This window comes from Homo sapiens, chromosome 3 (genome assembly GCF_000001405.40).
Source record: "Homo sapiens chromosome 3, GRCh38.p14 Primary Assembly".
In the NCBI taxonomy this organism is placed as follows: Eukaryota; Metazoa; Chordata; class Mammalia; order Primates; family Hominidae; genus Homo; species Homo sapiens.
This window is the reverse complement of record NC_000003.12, coordinates 12,974,188-12,990,922: the sequence shown is the minus strand read 5'-3', so window position 1 is coordinate 12,990,922 and position 16,735 is coordinate 12,974,188. Positions and strand designations below refer to the sequence as shown.

The following is a 16,735-nucleotide window of genomic DNA, read 5'->3' as shown; positions in this document are numbered from 1 at the left end:
CATTTTTTTCTAAGCATCTACTCCATGCCAGACCTGATCACAGGGGCTTTCACATGTATTTCCCATTTCGTCTGCAAAACCACAAACCTATCATTCCCTTGTATGATGGTTCTCGAAGCATAATATTAAAACAGTGTCAATCCCACAGGCCAGCTGGAATGATGTAGGATGCTGCACCATTGATTGTCCTTTCAGCGTTGCTCGGTTGCCCCAGAGCCCCAGCAGTTTACCAGTCTGTGTACCCAGACACCCTCAGGGTGGCATTCCTCTGGGAAGGGCTTCAGACTCAAGTGCGCGGAGTCCAGACTGACCCAAATAAATCCCTGCGTGCCGTGTGTGACAGCATAGAAAGCCAGCTGTGGGAGCTAATGACCTCTGTACACACAGCTTGGGCCTTACCTGCTGTCTTTTTAGAAGGTAACCCTGGCCTGCGTCATTCCTTATCCAGTTGTGCTTACACAATTTCTTCTTCCAGACTGTGAACTCCCTGAGGGCAGAGTGGGGCCTGAGGCATTACTTCATCCCTAGTGCCAGGGGAGGATATAAGTTCTTGTTGTGCCTGACTGAGACTGAGCTGAATCCAAACAAGGAACAGGCTGCCTTAGAAGGCAGTGAGTTTCCCTCATCGGTGTGTGGAGTGAGGCCAGGTGGAGGATTCACAAATTTCAGTTAGCTGAGATGCCCTGCAGGACCATTTTAGCTCCAAGACTCCCACAGCCAATGATTTATTTTTTCAGTGATCCAAGGACTTGGTGGAAAGCTATCAGGATAGTAACACAGGTTTGTAACAATCCTAAAAGTGCCAACGTGTTTTAATAAAGCCAAGTGCCGAGGGGTATTATGGGAGCATTTCATTATTTAGCTCAGCCAGATGCTGAACTAGGACCAGGTTTGGGGCTTATCCAAGTGGACTGAGGGTTTGGTATAAAAGGAACCAGGAAGAAAATTGAGCATCTTATGGCTAATCCTTGAGCAGCAGCTGGGGTCTCTGTCTGTCACTCTAACTTAGGAGGCCTTTAGGTCAGAGAGCCGGACTCTTTGTTGCTCTGGACAAGTCCCTTCCCCTCCCTGAACCAAAGCTTCCCCATCTTTATCATGGGGGACCTAATCCCTACCCAGGCTTCCTTACTGGGGGCTGCGAGTTTGGAAGAGACCGGAAAAACACTTTAGAAGTCAGAACCAGCACTCAGGAGGGTTGAGGGCGGGTGAGGACAAGAGGGACTGAATCCCACAGATCGTGGTAAGCTCAGGTGTGTGGAGTGGCCCAGGGCCAGCCAGCCTTTTGGGGGCTTCAGAGTCATGGATGGGGTTCAGCCTTTCTGTGCTTCCAGTTCAGTGATCCTAGGGGTGCTTGAAGGCAGCTGGGCTGGGTTCGAATTCCAGCTGTCAGCTTCCTAGCTTTGTGCATGACCTTGGACAAGTCACTAGGCCTCCCTGTTTTCTCCTCTTTAAAATGGGGTGATGATGGTACCCACCTCCTAAGGCAGTTATGAAGATAATTCTGTGAAAGTGTGTCAGTATCATACAGTTGTTTTTCTGTTTTCTCCTTTGGGATATCACAGAAGCCACCAGGGATTTCTAGGATCTGAAAGTGCAAATAGAAGCATCAGCTCCATTCATTTACTCATTCAGCAAATATTTATGGAGCACCTACTATGTGCCAGATTTTCAGTTTGGTGCTGGGGTTACCACTGGAGCAAAAGAGACCGAAAGCCATGCCCTCCGGGAGCTTTTATTCTAGTGGCAAGAGACCCACAATACATAAGCAAACAAAATAATTTTGGAGTGCTAAATGCTAAAATCAACCCATCTGCTCCAGTTGGTGTTAAATGTGATTTGCAATGGAAGAACTCTTCCAAAGAGACCAGAGAGGAGAGCCTTGGTTTGGGCTTTGCCTAACCTAGATTCTAGTCTTGGCCCTGCTGGCTTCTAACTTGCTTTGCATCGTTGGGCAAGTTCCTTCCTGTCTCTGATCCTCAGTTCTTGTCTGTGACATAAGAGAGCAAGATGAGCCCTTCTAGCTCGGATGCTGCTGCCTGGTGGCTCTGCAGTCACAGCTTGGAGTCCATGCCTTTCCCCACCCTTATCACATGTACCTTTCTATTTTAAATGTGGTCACCTGTCATAGAGAAGGGTGCAAGGACAAACATGCACAGCTTAAAGAAAAATAAGAACATGCGTGTGACCACTGCATGGGTCAAGAGACTGAGCATTGCCCAAAGCCCCCGTGTGCCCCTCCCCAGCCTGCTCCTCAGAGATTGTCGTCATCCTGACTTTGTGCTAATAATGTCCCTCTTGCCCTTCCTGTCGTACCACCTATGGAACAGCTTTTTACAATATAATTTTGCTTTTATTATTTTTGAGCTGAATATAAACAGGCTGTGGATATTTGTTCAGGTCTGGCTCCTTTTGCTCAAAGTTGCATCTGCGAGATTCACCTATGCAATAAGTTGCTGTTCATTCTTTTATTTTTATTGTATTTATTTTTATTTTTATTTTTATTTTTTTGAGATAGAGCCTCGCTCTGTCGCCCAGGCTGGAGTGCATTGGCGCAATCTCAGCTCACAGCAACCTGCACTTCCCGGGTTCAAGCAATTCTCCTGCCGCAGCCTCCCCAGTAGCTGGGATTACAGGCTCCTACCACCACGCCTGGCTAATTTTTTGTATTTTTAGTAGAGATGGGGTTTTGCCATGTTAGCCAAGCTAGTCTCAAACTCCTGACCTCAAGTGATCCACCTGCCTCGGCCTCCCAAAGTGCTGGGATTACAGGCGTGAGCCACCGCGCCCAGCTGTCCTTTTAAATAAATAGTATTTCATTGTATCGACAGGCCACAGCTTATGTATGCAGTCTACTGTGATGGACCACATGGGTTGTTTTCAGTTTGGGGCTGTTGCTCTTGAACCTGTGTCCCAGCACACATGGCATGAGCTGTCTCTGGGGCACATACTGGCTGTAAAGCAAGCATACAGCCTTGCCCCAACCCCACACTGGGCATTGTCGGTCTTTGTCGTTTTCACTCACCTGGTGGGTGGGTAATGGTTTCTTGCTGTGGTTTGAATTTGCATCTCCCCGATGAGGTTGGGGATCTTTTGTTTGTCCATTGGCTGTTTGGATTTCATCATTGGTGGAGTGCCTGTTCATGCCTTTCACCCATCTTGGGCTGTCTTTTTATTTCTTTACGATTTGGAGGCTTCTTTGGGTGCTACAGATTCTAATCCTTCGTCAGTTATCCACATTGTAGACCTCTTCTCCCTCCCTCCTGCCTGCCTTTTTCACTCTTTACAGGGTGTTGGGATAAACTTCTCAATTTCAGAATTCTTAATTCAAGTAGTCAACTTTCTCACTTTATTAACATTTTTCGTGTTTTGAGAAACTCATTCCTACCCTGTAATCATGAAGATTCTCGTTATTCACCTTTCACATTAGGTCTTTAATCCACCTGGAATAGATTTTCATCTACGGTCTCTCTCTCTCTCTCTGACACATGCACATGTGTGCACATGCACGGCCCCAGGTGCACACATATACCCATTCCCAGGTGGCCCGGCACCATTTGGTGAGAACCGTGTTCTTTTCCCTACCTGCACTGCCCCCAGCACGTACCATACCTCTCGCTACAAGGCAGGCAGTGGCCCAACTGCAGGCTGTGGGCTGGGAGGTGGTAGGGACAGGGCGAGGGCAAGGCGGACAGCCCTCCCCGCCCCCAGCAGGACCAGCTGCTGCTCCTGCCAAACAGGTCTGTGGGGCTGCAGTGTCACGTGTCTGGCTGGCGCTGACTCGGGAGCTGGCGGATTAAGCAGGGGCTCAGGGTTTATGACCCGCACTGGCCGCAGCACCAGATGGGGGACGGCTGAGGGAGCTCATCTGTGTGGGCAGCAGAGGAGGCCTGAGAAGCCAGCCAGGCTGCGGCTGTTTGTGGCAGGAGGCCCCCACCCACAGCACTGGACCAAGGTAAGGGAAGGGTGGGATGGGCCAGCCCCACTATTAGTATCTCTAGCTGGAAAATAAAATGTCCCCTCCCAAGCTCCTTCTATCTTGGTCTGTTGGGGCAGCTGAGATCTGGGAGATGCCACAGCCCACAGCAAGCCCCTGCCGGGTCTCGGTCCCCTGTGGGGAGCACACATGAGCTCACATATGCGCACAGGCACCCTGCCAGCCTGGTTCTCGTCCCAGCTCCTCGTCCTCTTCAGTGCCTAGTATGTGCCTCTGGGTGGGAGGGTCACTGCCAGCCGTTAGCCTGCCCCCTAGACCCTGGTGCCTTTCCCCAGGCGGTGCCCCATGCCTGGCCTGGCAGGACGCAGCCAGTAGAGGACCGACCTCCCACTCTCGGGTTCACCAGGCAGGGGAGAGGGGAAGGGAATGAGTGCGTGCTGAGCACCTCTGTGTGTCAGATACCTCATCTTGGGCCATCGTTACTCCTGCCTTCCAAGGTAGGAAAGATTCACCTGTTTCATAGATGAGGAAACTGAGGCTCACAGAGGGGCTGAGGATGGCCACCTGCATCTCAGTAGTCTGCCTGTGTGACCCCAAGGAAGCTGCAGGCTCTGCTCCTGGCCCCCGGGGAACTCTCAGTTGTCTGACAAGGCACATTGCCTCTGGCGCAGGGCTGCTGTTACCTGGGGCTCCAGGGAACTCTAGGCCTCTGGGGAAAAAGTCGGGACAAAGAGCAGGAGCCAGAGCCTCAGGTCCCAGCCCAGCTCCCAGCCCAGCCTGTGACGTAGCCTTCCCTGTAGCATGCTGTCAGCCTTGGCCAGTGGGTGTGACCTGGGCGCAGGGGTCCAGCCTGCGGTGACCTTGCTCCATTTCCTCGTTTGTAGCATGGAAGATGTCAGTAATAGCATCTCCCTCCTCAGGTCGCTCAGGCTGAAATGAGATGGTAAAGAAGGGCTTTCAAAACATGGCCCAACAGGCAAGGCCCATGGGCACTCAGTCAACCCTAGCTTTCATTTTTACAGAGAAGGTCAGTATCTGGGGTCCCTTCATCTTCTGAAATTCTGAGCTCCTGTCTCTTTCTTTTCTGCCTGGGCCATTTATGTATGGGTTTAGATCTATGAATTTAATATTTGCTTAGGAAATACAGGCCCATGATGAAAATCTTAAACATTATAAAAGAATATGCAGTGAAGACTATGTATGTGCCCCCCTAGAAACATGGAAAGTATTTTTCAGGTATCTGGTCAAAAACATATAAACGTTTATCACCCTCCATCCCAGACATACTTGGGCAGTTTGGTCCTCCCCTATCCAGTGACCCCCCCCACTCTGCCACCCGTCCTTTAAATCCGCCCACTCTGGCCTGGGGAACCCAGGCTGCTGCCTCCCTCCAGAAGTCACACATATTTGTGGGTGCTGGCACCAGATTTTCCTTGTCAGCAGGACTTAAGGAAAGCTGCAGCCTGGCACAGGGCAAACGGTTGGCGGGGGGGGGGGGATTGTTAAGCAGTAAAGAACGGTGTCTCTGTGCCCAGTGAAGGCCCAAGTTGGAGACCAGCTCTCCCACCCCCAGGCTCCAGCAGATCTGGATCTAGAGCAAGGGCGGGGCCTGGGGACCTGACTCGGGCCCAGCCTGACTGCCAGCTGGCCATTGGGTGACCTTGAGGCAGCCCTGGCCCTCTCTGGGCTCCTGACTCAGTGTGGGAGCCCAGCGTGTATGGCAGCCTCAGTGAGAGGGCTGAGGGTGTGCCCCCTTCAAGACCCAAGCAAGCCATACCTCACCCAGCCCACTTGGGCTAAAGCCTGTGATGTAGGGATGCAGTCTTGATTGCCTTAAAAATTTGACTACTTAAAAATGTAATTGCGGCTGGGCGCGGTGGCTCACGCCTGTAATCCCAGCACTTTGGGAGGCCGAGGTGGGCGGATCACGAGGTCAGGAGATCGAGACCATCCTGGCTAACACGGTGAAACCCTGTCTCTACTAAAAATACAAAAAATTAGCCGGGCGTGGTGGTGGGCGCCTGTAATCCCAGCTACTCGGGAGGCTGAGGCAGGAGAATGGCATGAACCCAAGAGGCGGAGCTTGCAGTGAGCCGGGATAGCGCCACTGCAGTCCAGCTTGGGCGAAAGAGTGAGACTCCGTCTCAAAAAAAAAAAAAAAAAAAAAAAAAAATGTAATTGCTTTAAAAGTGTTAATAGTGCACTGGGAGGAAGCTGAAGGCAGTGCTAAGTCTGGCTAACATGTTTTCTCTTGATCTTGTGACTTCTGGACCTGTAAGCGACTTATCTTTGTCCATGTAAATCTCCTAGGGGGCTGAGGGGTGGGGCTTTATCTTTCCCCAGGAAGGCAGCAGGTGGTTCCATGTGGCTACAGGTCGTGCATGCATGGCCCTTAGGCTTCCCAGCCCCCTGAAAGGAGGAGCAGCATTCACTGTTGGTCTTGGGAGGGTGGCAGGTACCCAGAGTCACTGTCACCCTGTGGGGCAGAACTCCAGGCACTCCCAAATGTACAGATACTCAGGTTGTGCACTGCATGAGGGCAGTTGGCAGAGGAACAACTGCACTCTAATGGCATTCTTGTTAGCTCAGCCCTGGGCCTGTGGGGCTGTATCCACCAGAAGAGGGCGCCTTTTACAAATTTACTCAGGGGCCCTACATGTGGATGGTGAAACTAGACTTGAGTATGCTCGCTAGCAAAGGCATGGGGTCTCCTCCCTATCTCCCCGTGGTCCTCCTGTGCTCAGTTGTCTAGAATCTCCCTCCAGGGACTCTGCTGGTAACCCCAGGGGAAAGGAAACTCCAAACACCTTCCCCGATCCATGGGAGCGGCTTGAGTTAGACCCAGCCTGGTGAATTTCAGAGAGAACTGGACCATGGACCTGACCTTGGGGGCTGGAGGATGGCCTGACTTAGAGAAGGCCTGGGTCCCTATCTCAGTTCCAGCTGTTTCTGGCACTCTGTACCTTGGGTCAGGACAGCTCTGTGCAGACCATCTGTTTACCATGTTACTATCCCCCAGAACCCACGTATGAAAGGCCCTTACCTCTCTGCCTGCCCCCTTGAAGGTAGGTGCTTTATTTTTAAAGGCATGTGGATTTGGGGACAGGGACATACATGAGCTGGGCATATTCATTTCATCCACAAATATTTATCCAGCAGCTAGTTGTGCCAGGCGCCGTGCTGAGGCTGGGCATAAGTGGGGTATGTCGGACAACCTTATTCTTATCCTCACGGAGCTGTCCAGAGGGGAGAGGGAAAGGGAAATTGTCCTCTGAACAGCATCGCCCAGGTGCTGGGAGGAATTGCCCAGCGTGGCCTGTGAGGTCAGCCCAGGCGTCCCTGAAGGAGCTGAGCCAAGAAGGTGGAATCGGGGCTGAGTGGGCTCCAGGGGCTGGCTCAGCACCCCCTCTGGGCACCCTGCTCAAGGCTGGGGCATCACTTCATCCTGGCCGCTCTGTCTCGGGGCTAGGAAGGCCAGGCTGCAGTTCTCCAGCAGGGTGACAGGTGGTGGGTGGGCTGGACCTGCCAAGACCAACCCAGTGAGAGGTGGGGCTGGGGATTGCTTTGGTCAGGCCAGGAGTGAGCCATGCTTCCTCCTGCTCCTCACCCGCCCCCAAGCCAGCACCCAGACTGCAGTTGTCACCACGCCACCTTTCATCCCCTCCGAGGACTGCTCTACCAGCTGTGCCCTGAGCTGTCGTTTTAATCTGATCTAAATTTGCCACCATGCCCAACCTGGGGAAGGTTGGGTGAAACCCCTGTTTGCAGAGGATGGGGCTTAGGTGCTGGAGCTGGAGCACCCAGTTCAGATCTGGATTATGCAGCTGGGGCCAGCGGAATGCTGGCCATAAAGTCCCTGTCTCATAGGAGGGGCAGGTGCAAGTGAGTTACAGTGGGGAAGGCCCTCAGGAGCCCCCAGTGAGCAATAGCACTCCTCACCCTCCATCCCACGCACAAGCACCCAGAGAGGGCAGACAGCTGTACCTTGCTGAAGGTTGATTACCACGGCCAGGGCCTCCCTCTGCAGCCTCAGGACAGGGTTACCTGGGCCCGCACCTTGCCACTGTCTCTTGCAAGCTGGGAACGTTTGGACTAGTGATTTCTCAAACAGCCTCGGTTTCCTCCAGTGCCTGGTGCATGGCAGGCACACAGCAGATGGGGGCTGATGCTGTTTTGTTTCCTGAAGTGACCAACAACAGCCCCACCACAGGCAGGCAGCTCTTTCCTGTCAGTACTAGGGGCTGCAAGCTGTGGTGCTGAGCAGGGTCATGCAGCCTCAGCCACCAGGACTAGAAAGGGGACCCCCCAGTCAGTTCTGCCTATAGGACCCAGAGCATGTTCCTCTCTCTCTTTCTAGAACAGGGCTTAGACTTAAACACCCACGGGGGCCAGGCAAATGGCATGGGTGCTGGCGTTGGTTGTGGCTAAGAACATTTTTTTCTTTAATGGCAATGTTTCTCAAAGTGTGGTCCAGGGAGTTCAAACCATTTAAATAACAACAAGCAGCTGTTGTTTGCCTTATCACCATCATTCTTGCACAAGTGTGCTGTAGAATATTCTAGAGGCCACCTGACATGTTGGTGGATAGACTGAGGCTTTTGCTATAAAGATGTCTCAAGGTTGATGATGTCTTAATTTTAATTTTTTAATATGGTAAATGATGATAGATATCACACCCATAAACAATTTTGGGATCCTCAGTTGAGAGTGTACAGGGAGCCTGACACCAAAAAGCTTGAGAACCACTGGCCTATACTTTTTTTAAGCGTGTTTGATAAAATGCTAAAGGACAACTGATGGTGGGTTCCAATATGGGGCGCAAAAGAGAATGGGGGGGATTTTGGCAGAACAGTGCTTAACCTGCTAACAGGGCACCACAGTGACTCAGCACCAGTCCCAGGTGGGCAGGCAGGAACTCATGTGGGCCCCATGTGGCAGTGCATCCAGCTTTCACAGGAAGCCCCAAATCCAGCTCAGGTCACACAGAAACCATCTGGGGCCAGAGCTGTCTGGGGATCTCCAGTTGCAGCCTGTGACCTGGGGTCTTAGTGTCCCCATCTATGGAACAGGCAGCAGTGGCCCCTTGTGGGATGCCAGGAGGCAAGTGCTCAGGGTGCAGATGGGGAAGAGGATGCGGGCTGGTCTCACCCGGCTCCTGACCCCATGGCGGACTCGAGGCTCACCAAGCTGCTGCAGAGGGGACAGGCAGCAGGAGGCGGGTCCTCCACAGCTAGCTCTTCCGGGTGTCCTTTGTCAGCCTGGCATTAGCATGTATATATGAGAGAGAGATTTCACAGCTAATTCTACAATCATACTTCACAATTCTTTATGATAAAGAATAATTTTAATGGTAATTTTTTATCTAGCTTTGTCTATGTTTCTAACATGTTTATTTACATGGTTTACAATTCAAAAGATACAAAAGGGTATATGGTGAAAAGTTCCCCCTGTTGTTTCTACTTGGGGAGTGAAAGGGAACGGGGGAATTGTGACGAAACAACACTAGTCCCCCAGCAGCCGGTTCTCCCCCCCAGAGATGTCTCGTGTTATTAGTTTCTTGTGTCCGATTCCAGAGTTTCACATATACATAAGCAAATGCCTAGAAACAAATGTTATCCCCCCATTTTTAAACACAAATGTGGCAATGCCATACACACAGTCTGACACCTTGTATAGCTAACTTTATCAATGACTTAGCCCTACAAGGTAGATATTACTATCCTCATCTATAGGGAAGGAATTTGAAGTTCAGAGTTTCTGTGATTTGCCCAAAGCAACACAGCTAGGAAGTGGCAGAGCCAGGATTCAAACCCAGGTCTGGCTGGCTCCTGCTCCCCCTAAGCACGACCCCGCCAAGCCTCACCCCTCTGCTGCCCTTGGAGTGGCTGCTGTGGGGCCTCGTTCATCCATCAGATGAGGCGAGCTTCCATCCTGCATTGATCTCTCAGGACACTTGGGTTGCAGTTGACAGAAACTCACCTGAACACTGCTTAGAGGAAGGGAGAATTGATTGGCTCCTCTCACCAAAGTGCAGAGGGAAGGAGTATAATGGAGCAGGGTCCCTCCTGAGGTCAAGAGGCAGGATCGGCTAAGACAGCCATGGTTGTCACGCTGCTCACAGTGCTCCTCCCAGGAAGGAGCATCCACGCAGCCCTACTTGGGTCCCTGCAGGCAGGGCTGGACAGTGAGAGGCTCACCAGGTCCAAATGCCTGGAGGACCAGACGAGGCCCAAAACAGGAGAGAACAGAAGGGCTCTTAGGAAGAGGAAAGGGCCTCGAGGAAGTGAGGAACACAGGCAAGGTCCCATCCCAGCCCCTCCCTCCTGATCTCCCCTCCCCGTGCATGGCAGGGCATTGAATGTGGAATTATCCTTAACCAGGGTAGTAATTACTGAAGATGTAGCTGGCATGTTGAACAAATTGTTGTGTGTTTGTAGTTACAAATCATGTTCCTAACACTCCAGGGGGTTCCAAACCTTGATATCTTTGCTATTAACACATAAATTACAGTTATTTATGGAAATTGCTAGAGAAACAATTGTCTGTGGATTGTGTTGCATGAGGGATGCTCATCATGGATCAACTCCAGGAGCCTGAAGTGGTCCGTCTGGGTCTCAAGACTGAAGACTTTTAGTTCGTGGGGTCAGGTTCTTGTACCAGCCAAAGGCTGACTTGGCTCAGGGGCTCCTAGACTTTGTCACCAGTGCATGGGCAAACAGGTTGGATTCCCAGCTCTGCCACCACCAGCTGAGTGGCCTGGAGGTGAGTCATTTAACCCCTCTGTGCCTCTGTTTCCTATGGACTAAGAGGGCCCACTTGAAGGGGTGGTGGGAGCATTACAGGAGATAACAGAGGTGCAGCCCCTTACACCTGCCCTGTGCAGAAGGTGCTCCTGGGCCCAAGCGCCTCTCCTTCTCTCTGCACAGCTCAGGAGGCACACAGTGGGGCAGCAGCCAAGTCTTGTTCCCAGGAAGAGTGGAACAGGACGTGGAGGCCTCCAGCTGCATGCCCCTGGCACCAGGCTGCCTTCCCCCACCTCAGGTAGTCGGGAAATCATTTCTCGCTTGAGTATGCTGTTTCTTGTTGCGCAAAATGGATTCTTAGATCCTTGTTACCCACCAAGCAGGGTTTCAGGAAGTATGAGATCCAGGCCGCGAAACGATTCCGGGTGAGGCACAGGCTCAGCTCTTGGTGACATGGAGCATACCACCTGGAACATGAGAGAGAGTTCTCCTTCCGGTGCTCTTTCCGCCCTTCTGATGACATCAGACAGGAGGGTCGGCATGCTGACAGACCTTTAATGTCTCTTTATCACCCACAAAGGCTTAATGCAATGTATTGATTATATAGGGAGTAATACAGTCATGGTTCAACAGTTAAACATACAGAAGGGTACACAGTGAGCTATGCGCCACGCCCTTCCACGTCCCATTCCCCTCCCCAGAGACAACCGCTGTCCAGGGACATCTTAGAGTGTGTGTGTGCGCGTGCTGCGTGCATGTGTCCGCCTTTTTTGTAACCCAAATCCAGCATTCTTCAGCTTACCTTTTTCATGTAGCACTATGTCTTGTATCTCAGTCCCTATCAGGATATAAAAAGCATGCTTCTGTTTTATTGGCGGCGTCCTGTCATGTGGATTCTCTGTGCTTGCTAATCTGTGTTGTAAACAAAACACAGCAGGCCTCAGGGATGGGGCTGATAACAGGATCAAAGCAGGAGTTTATAACAGCATTTTGTTTTTGTTGATTTATTTTCATGGGAAAATTCAATTTATGCTTAGTGAGGCTGGCTTTTCACTTGTGGAGCAGATATAAAGTTTTCTTGATAGAATGAAGAGCGTTAAGTAATTGGAATGTATACAGGTGCTATGTGGTTGTTGGGAAAACTAAACCCAGGTCACTCCCACTCCTGCTTACACCCTCACAGGATGAAGCTCCTGCTCGGTCCACTGGCCTCATGCCCCACAGCGCACCCATCCCCACACTTCATGCCCCATGTAGATGCAGAACTACAGGAATATTTTCCAAGTTAACCAAGCCTTTGCCCTTGCCACTTCATGTACCTGCAATGCCTTTATCCTGCTGGGCCACCCGGTGAATTCCCATTCATGCCACAAATCCCAAGACAGGCATCACCTCCTACAGGAAGCCTTCCCTGAATGACTAATCCACCAGCTAGCAATCATTCCTGCCTGTCTACCAGGTTGCTCCTATTACTGCATTTAGTGGCTTTAGTGGCTTACTGTTGTGCAAAGATTCTTTTTTATTTATTTATTTTTTTTTTTGAGACTGAGCCTCGCTCTATTGCCCAGGTTGGAGTGCACTGGTGCAATCTCTGCTTACTGCAACCTCCACCTCCAGGGTTCAAGTGATTCTCCTGCCTCAGCCTCCCGAGTAGCTGGGAGTACAGGCACCCGCCCCACGCCCGGCTAATTTTTGTAGTTTTTTTTATTTTAGTAGAGACGGGGTTTCACCGTATTGGCCAGGCTGGTCTCGAACTCCTGACCATGTGATCCGCCCGCCTCAGTCTCCCAAAGTGCTGGGATTACAGGTGTGAGCCACCGCGCCCGGCCCTGTGCAAAGATTCTTAAACTGCTGCAGGTATTACAGTCATCTGGGGGGTGGGAATTTGCATTTCAAATGATTCCCAGCTGAGGCTGCTGCTGCTGCTGTTTCTAGGACCCCACTTTGAGGACAACTGTTGGAGTGCAAGGAACACAGGCTGAGTGTCAGCCTACTGGGCTCTAATCCCAGCTTCATCACATGGGCTGTGTGTCTTAGTGCAAATTACTTACCTTCTCTAGGCTTCAAGGCCTCTGTGATAAATCAGAAAACAATCCGCACCTTGTAGAATTTCTGTCAGGATTATGTGAACTCATGCAGGAATGTAGTTGACGCCAATTGTGAATTACTTTCACTCCCCTTACCCAACCGAGTTTCCTGAGGGCAGGGCCCACATCTGCAGCCTCTGAGATGCCTAGTGCCTAACACATAGTAGGTGGGAAGGTATGCTGGGAAGTTATTGAGCACATTCAGGAATGCACACATTCTCAATGACAGATTTATTCAAACAGTGAATCACACGTCACACATGTCCTGCCTCCATTAATTCTCAATCAGTGGAGTTGGGTCAGGTCTTCCTTCCACTGGGACAAAAGAAGGTGTTGTTTAAATCAGTAACATAAAGATGACTGCAAAAAGGGATGTTTAACTCACTTAGGAGACGCTGTTGATTTAGGAGCACTTAATGGCATCCATTTACAAAACAGGTGAACCCAGCACTTATTATAAATGAACGTATCTATTCATTACAGCAGAGGCCCTGCATTCCCTTGGTAGCTGTTCTTTGGTGTGAACTCACTACATAAAAGGCAGCAGGCTGTCTCCCCAACAGCTACCAGGAATGCAGCCCCGGCCCTGCCACGGTGTCTAAGCCAGTGACATCCAGGTGAGATGTTCTGAAGGAGGGCAAGCCCTTGCAGCTTTCTCTCTGTATTTTTTCTAGATTCCCTCAGTTTCTCCACCCATTTTCATATGCAGATAAGCCCCAGTTTTGGTAAAGCTACCAGGAAAGAAACCGAAGTATACCAAGGATGGCCATTCGTTTTGCCAACGGGATAGCGCTTTTTTTTTTTTTCCCTGGAGACAGGATTTTATACTGTTGCCCAGGCTGGAGTGCAGTGGTGCAATCATGGCTCACTGCAGCCTTGAACTCTTGGGCTCAGCTGATCCTCCCACCTCAACCTCCCTAGTAGCTGGAACCACAGGCATGTGCCACCACACCCGGCTAATTTTTTATATTTTTAGTAGAGATGAGGTTTCGCCATGTTGCCCAGGCTAGTCTCTAACTCCTGAGCTCAAGCAATCTGCCTGCCTCAGCCTCCCACCTGTAATCCCTCAGCTGGGATTACAGGTATGAGCTGCTGTGCCCAGCCTGACGCCTCCTTTTTAAATAAAATCTTTAGCTGATGGGTTCCTTTAAATACTGAGCTCTCCTAGCACACTAGAGATGAGAATCAGTGATTTTGAAAAACCATTTTTCCAGCCCTTCCAGAATCTCTCTATGGTATAAAGAGGGGTGGGGTGCAGGGAATTGCTGAGATTGAGACAAGGATAAGCATGGGGAGAGGGAAGGAGACCTACCTTAGCCCTGTGGGTGGTCCCTGAACTAGAGTGAATCTGGATCAACATGATTCACCTGTCCAGCAGACATTTATTGAGCACCTGCTATAGACGGCAGGGGATACAGTGGCAAATGAACAAAGTTGCAGAGCTACTTTCTGGTGGAAGTGACAGTGAGTACATAAGTGATTAAGCCAGATAATGATGGACTGTGAGATGGGCTTTAAAGGGAATCGATGAGACAGAGAGAATGTGGACGAAGGTTCAGGAAGGTCCCGAGGAAGAAGTGACAGAACATACATGTATTGTCGTAGAGCCCTTCATGTATGAGGTCTGTCTCCCAGACTCTATGCCTGAGGGTGGGGCTTGGAAGCTGCAGAACCCAATTCTGCTCTGGTCCCAGGCTCCCAGGGGGATCTGTAAGGGACCCTGTGAGTGTTGGCTCCACCGGAGGATGTGCTTCCTTGAGTGAGGAATGGTGAGGCGCAGGCAGCCGGGGAAGAGGTGGGGAAAAGGCAAGGACCGCTTCCCCACTGTGACCCCACCTGGGCTTGTGGGGTGTGCTCAGCAGGGCTGGCAGAGTCCCTCCTGGGGCGGCCACTGCTGCCCCCCTCCTGCTTTTCCCCAGTGTCACTCCCTTCCAGAGGGCCAGGGGCAGACCCCAGGAGGAGAGTACAGCAAAGGGAGCGGGGAGTGGTGTACACTCTGGGAGTGGGGTTCAGGGAGCAGGCTGGGTGTAAGCAGAGCACCGCTCAGGCCCAGCACCGGATGGCTCACTGAATTCTTTTCAGCAACCTAAGAGACATAGATTATTCAGTTCCATTTCACAGAGGAGGAAACTGAGGCTCAGAGAAGTGACGCCCAAGGCTATACAGCCAAGAAGGGAGCCGAGCCAGGAGTCTGCCTCTGCAGCCGTTGGGGGGCAGATGCCAAGGTTGCTTTGGTTACTCACACATCAGCTAAGGCAGAGACTTTCTTCCCGCAGAGGTCTTCCTCCTGGGCCTTGAAGGTCAGATGGAATAGTGTTGTAAGAATGAACTTGGGACTCAGTCCTGGGTTCTCATCCCTCACTAGCTGTTTGCCCTTAAACAAATTCTTTAATCTTTCTGAGCCTTGGTTTCTTTTTCTGGATGAGAAGATAGAATAGTCCCTACCTTAGAGTTCCATTGTGAAGCTTAAATGAGACAACCTGTCATGCATTTAGCACAGAACCTGCATTCAATAAGCACCTTGGATATGGGGAAAGAGGGACTGTGGAGCTTCATGGTTAAGTTCATGGTTTGGGGACCAAATGGACCTGGGCTCAAATCCCTGATCCAGCCAGGCACTAGCTGTGTGGCCTTACATAAGTTATTCAACCTCTCTGAGTCTCAGTGTATCTGTAAAATGGAAGGTTGTTGAGGATTAAGTGTGGACACTTCTGTAAAGTGCCTGGTCCAGACTGTGTGCCCTGTGAGAGGAGGCTGCAGGAAGAGGCAAGAAGAGGCAGAGAGTTGGGAAAGGAGGCTTAGGAAGACCAAACCACTTGCCCAAGATTCAAGATCATGCTCCAGAACATGGAGCCTCCGTAAGCCATGAGCATCCCCACTATGGGACGCAGCCAATGGCTGGAAAAGGTGCTTACTCACTCAACACACCTTGGCTCCTCTTGCACTTTTGCCCCCGTACAAGGTGCCAGGGCCATAGTGAAGCAAGGGGAGGAACTTGCAGGCTCTGAAGGGCTGCCGTGTGCCTGGCCCTGGCTAGGCAGTCATGGGTGTCATTGCCAAGCCTCACACTGCGCCTGAAAGGAAGGTGGCACTGTCCCCACTTTGAGGCTGAAGATGCTGAGGCCCTGGGAAGCAGAGTAACTGTGTGAGGTCACATAGCGGGGCTGGGATATCTGCTGGGCCTGCTGCCCACAGGCCTGCCTCTTCTATCTGGGGCACAGAGAGTGGACACGGGGGACAGAGCTCAGGGGCGACAGCTGCAAGGGCCTGGAGCCCTGTTCCAGGAGCTGTGCCCCAGGGGGCCAAGCCCACCCAGCATAAGTGTCCTCCCTCCCTGAGGGTGCTGCTGTGGCTCCCTGCGCCACCTACCAGGGAAGGTGGGATGAGTATGAAGGGCTGAAGTGGGGGCATTTTTGATCGTCAGCTGGGGCTGGCAGGCACCTAAATGGGAAGGGTGATAGCAGTGTGTTGGGGGGAGTTTAGGGAACGGTCCTCTACCGATAGAGGCAGCAGCTCAGTGGAATTTCCTCCTGAAGTTGTCTTGCCCCTTGAATCCTGCAGGAAGGCTGGCAAATGGCCATTTCCCTTCCACTTGAATAGAGACCCATAACTCAAGTAGCTGCCCTTAAGACACCACAGGACTGTTCTTCGCGGGCCCTGCCCCTGGATTTGGGAGAGGCAGTCCAGCTCACCCAACTAGGCTCTGCAGGGGGACCAGGAGGGATGGGTTGTGTCCACAGGAGCAGCCAGACTGATGAGGGATGCGGCAAGCATATTCTCACCACCTTCTTTCACGTTTACAACAGACCAGCATTCCCTGTGTGGCAGGGGTTACATTGGTCACCGAGGACCTAGAATCATGGAGTGCTCTGGGGATCCGGGCTTGGAGGGCTTCTTGGAGGAGGTGACCATTCCTGGCTGTTTTGTGTGCTAAAGAAAACCCTCACCAACCACTGAGCACCCATCATGTG

The 16,735-nt window shown here is 51.5% G+C and overlaps 1 protein-coding gene across 27 annotated transcripts in view, besides 2 other annotated features; it reads left to right on the top strand.

The window, feature by feature from the left end:
* Window positions 1-16,735, top strand: part of IQSEC1 (IQ motif and Sec7 domain ArfGEF 1) — a 386,215-nt gene that overhangs the window by 292,335 nt on the left and 77,145 nt on the right. For 3 of the 27 annotated variants that reach the window (XM_047449350.1, XM_011534314.3, NM_001330619.3), the window contains exon 1: window positions 3,822-3,952. The exons of the other annotated variants lie outside the window; for them this stretch is intronic. The gene's annotated coding sequence lies outside the window, so the exon portion shown is untranslated. Of the gene's footprint in view, window positions 1-3,821; window positions 3,953-16,735 lie in introns of those variants that run through there. 27 annotated transcript variants of the gene reach the window in all.
* Window positions 8,167-8,216: a silencer, noted in NCBI's record as "silent region_14076". NCBI's record gives its function as "represses an Ori minimal core promoter by ATAC-STARR-seq in GM12878 lymphoblastoid cells {active_cell/tissue: GM12878}" and the evidence as "EXISTENCE:reporter gene assay evidence [ECO:0000049][PMID:35858748]".
* Window positions 10,674-11,873: an enhancer, noted in NCBI's record as "CDK7 strongly-dependent group 2 enhancer chr3:13020550-13021749 (GRCh37/hg19 assembly coordinates)". NCBI's record gives its function as "activates an origin of replication core promoter dependent on BRD2, BRD4, P300/CBP, MED14 and CDK7 cofactors, with strong dependence on CDK7, by STARR-seq in HCT116 cells {active_cell/tissue: HCT116}" and the evidence as "EXISTENCE:reporter gene assay evidence [ECO:0000049][PMID:35650434]".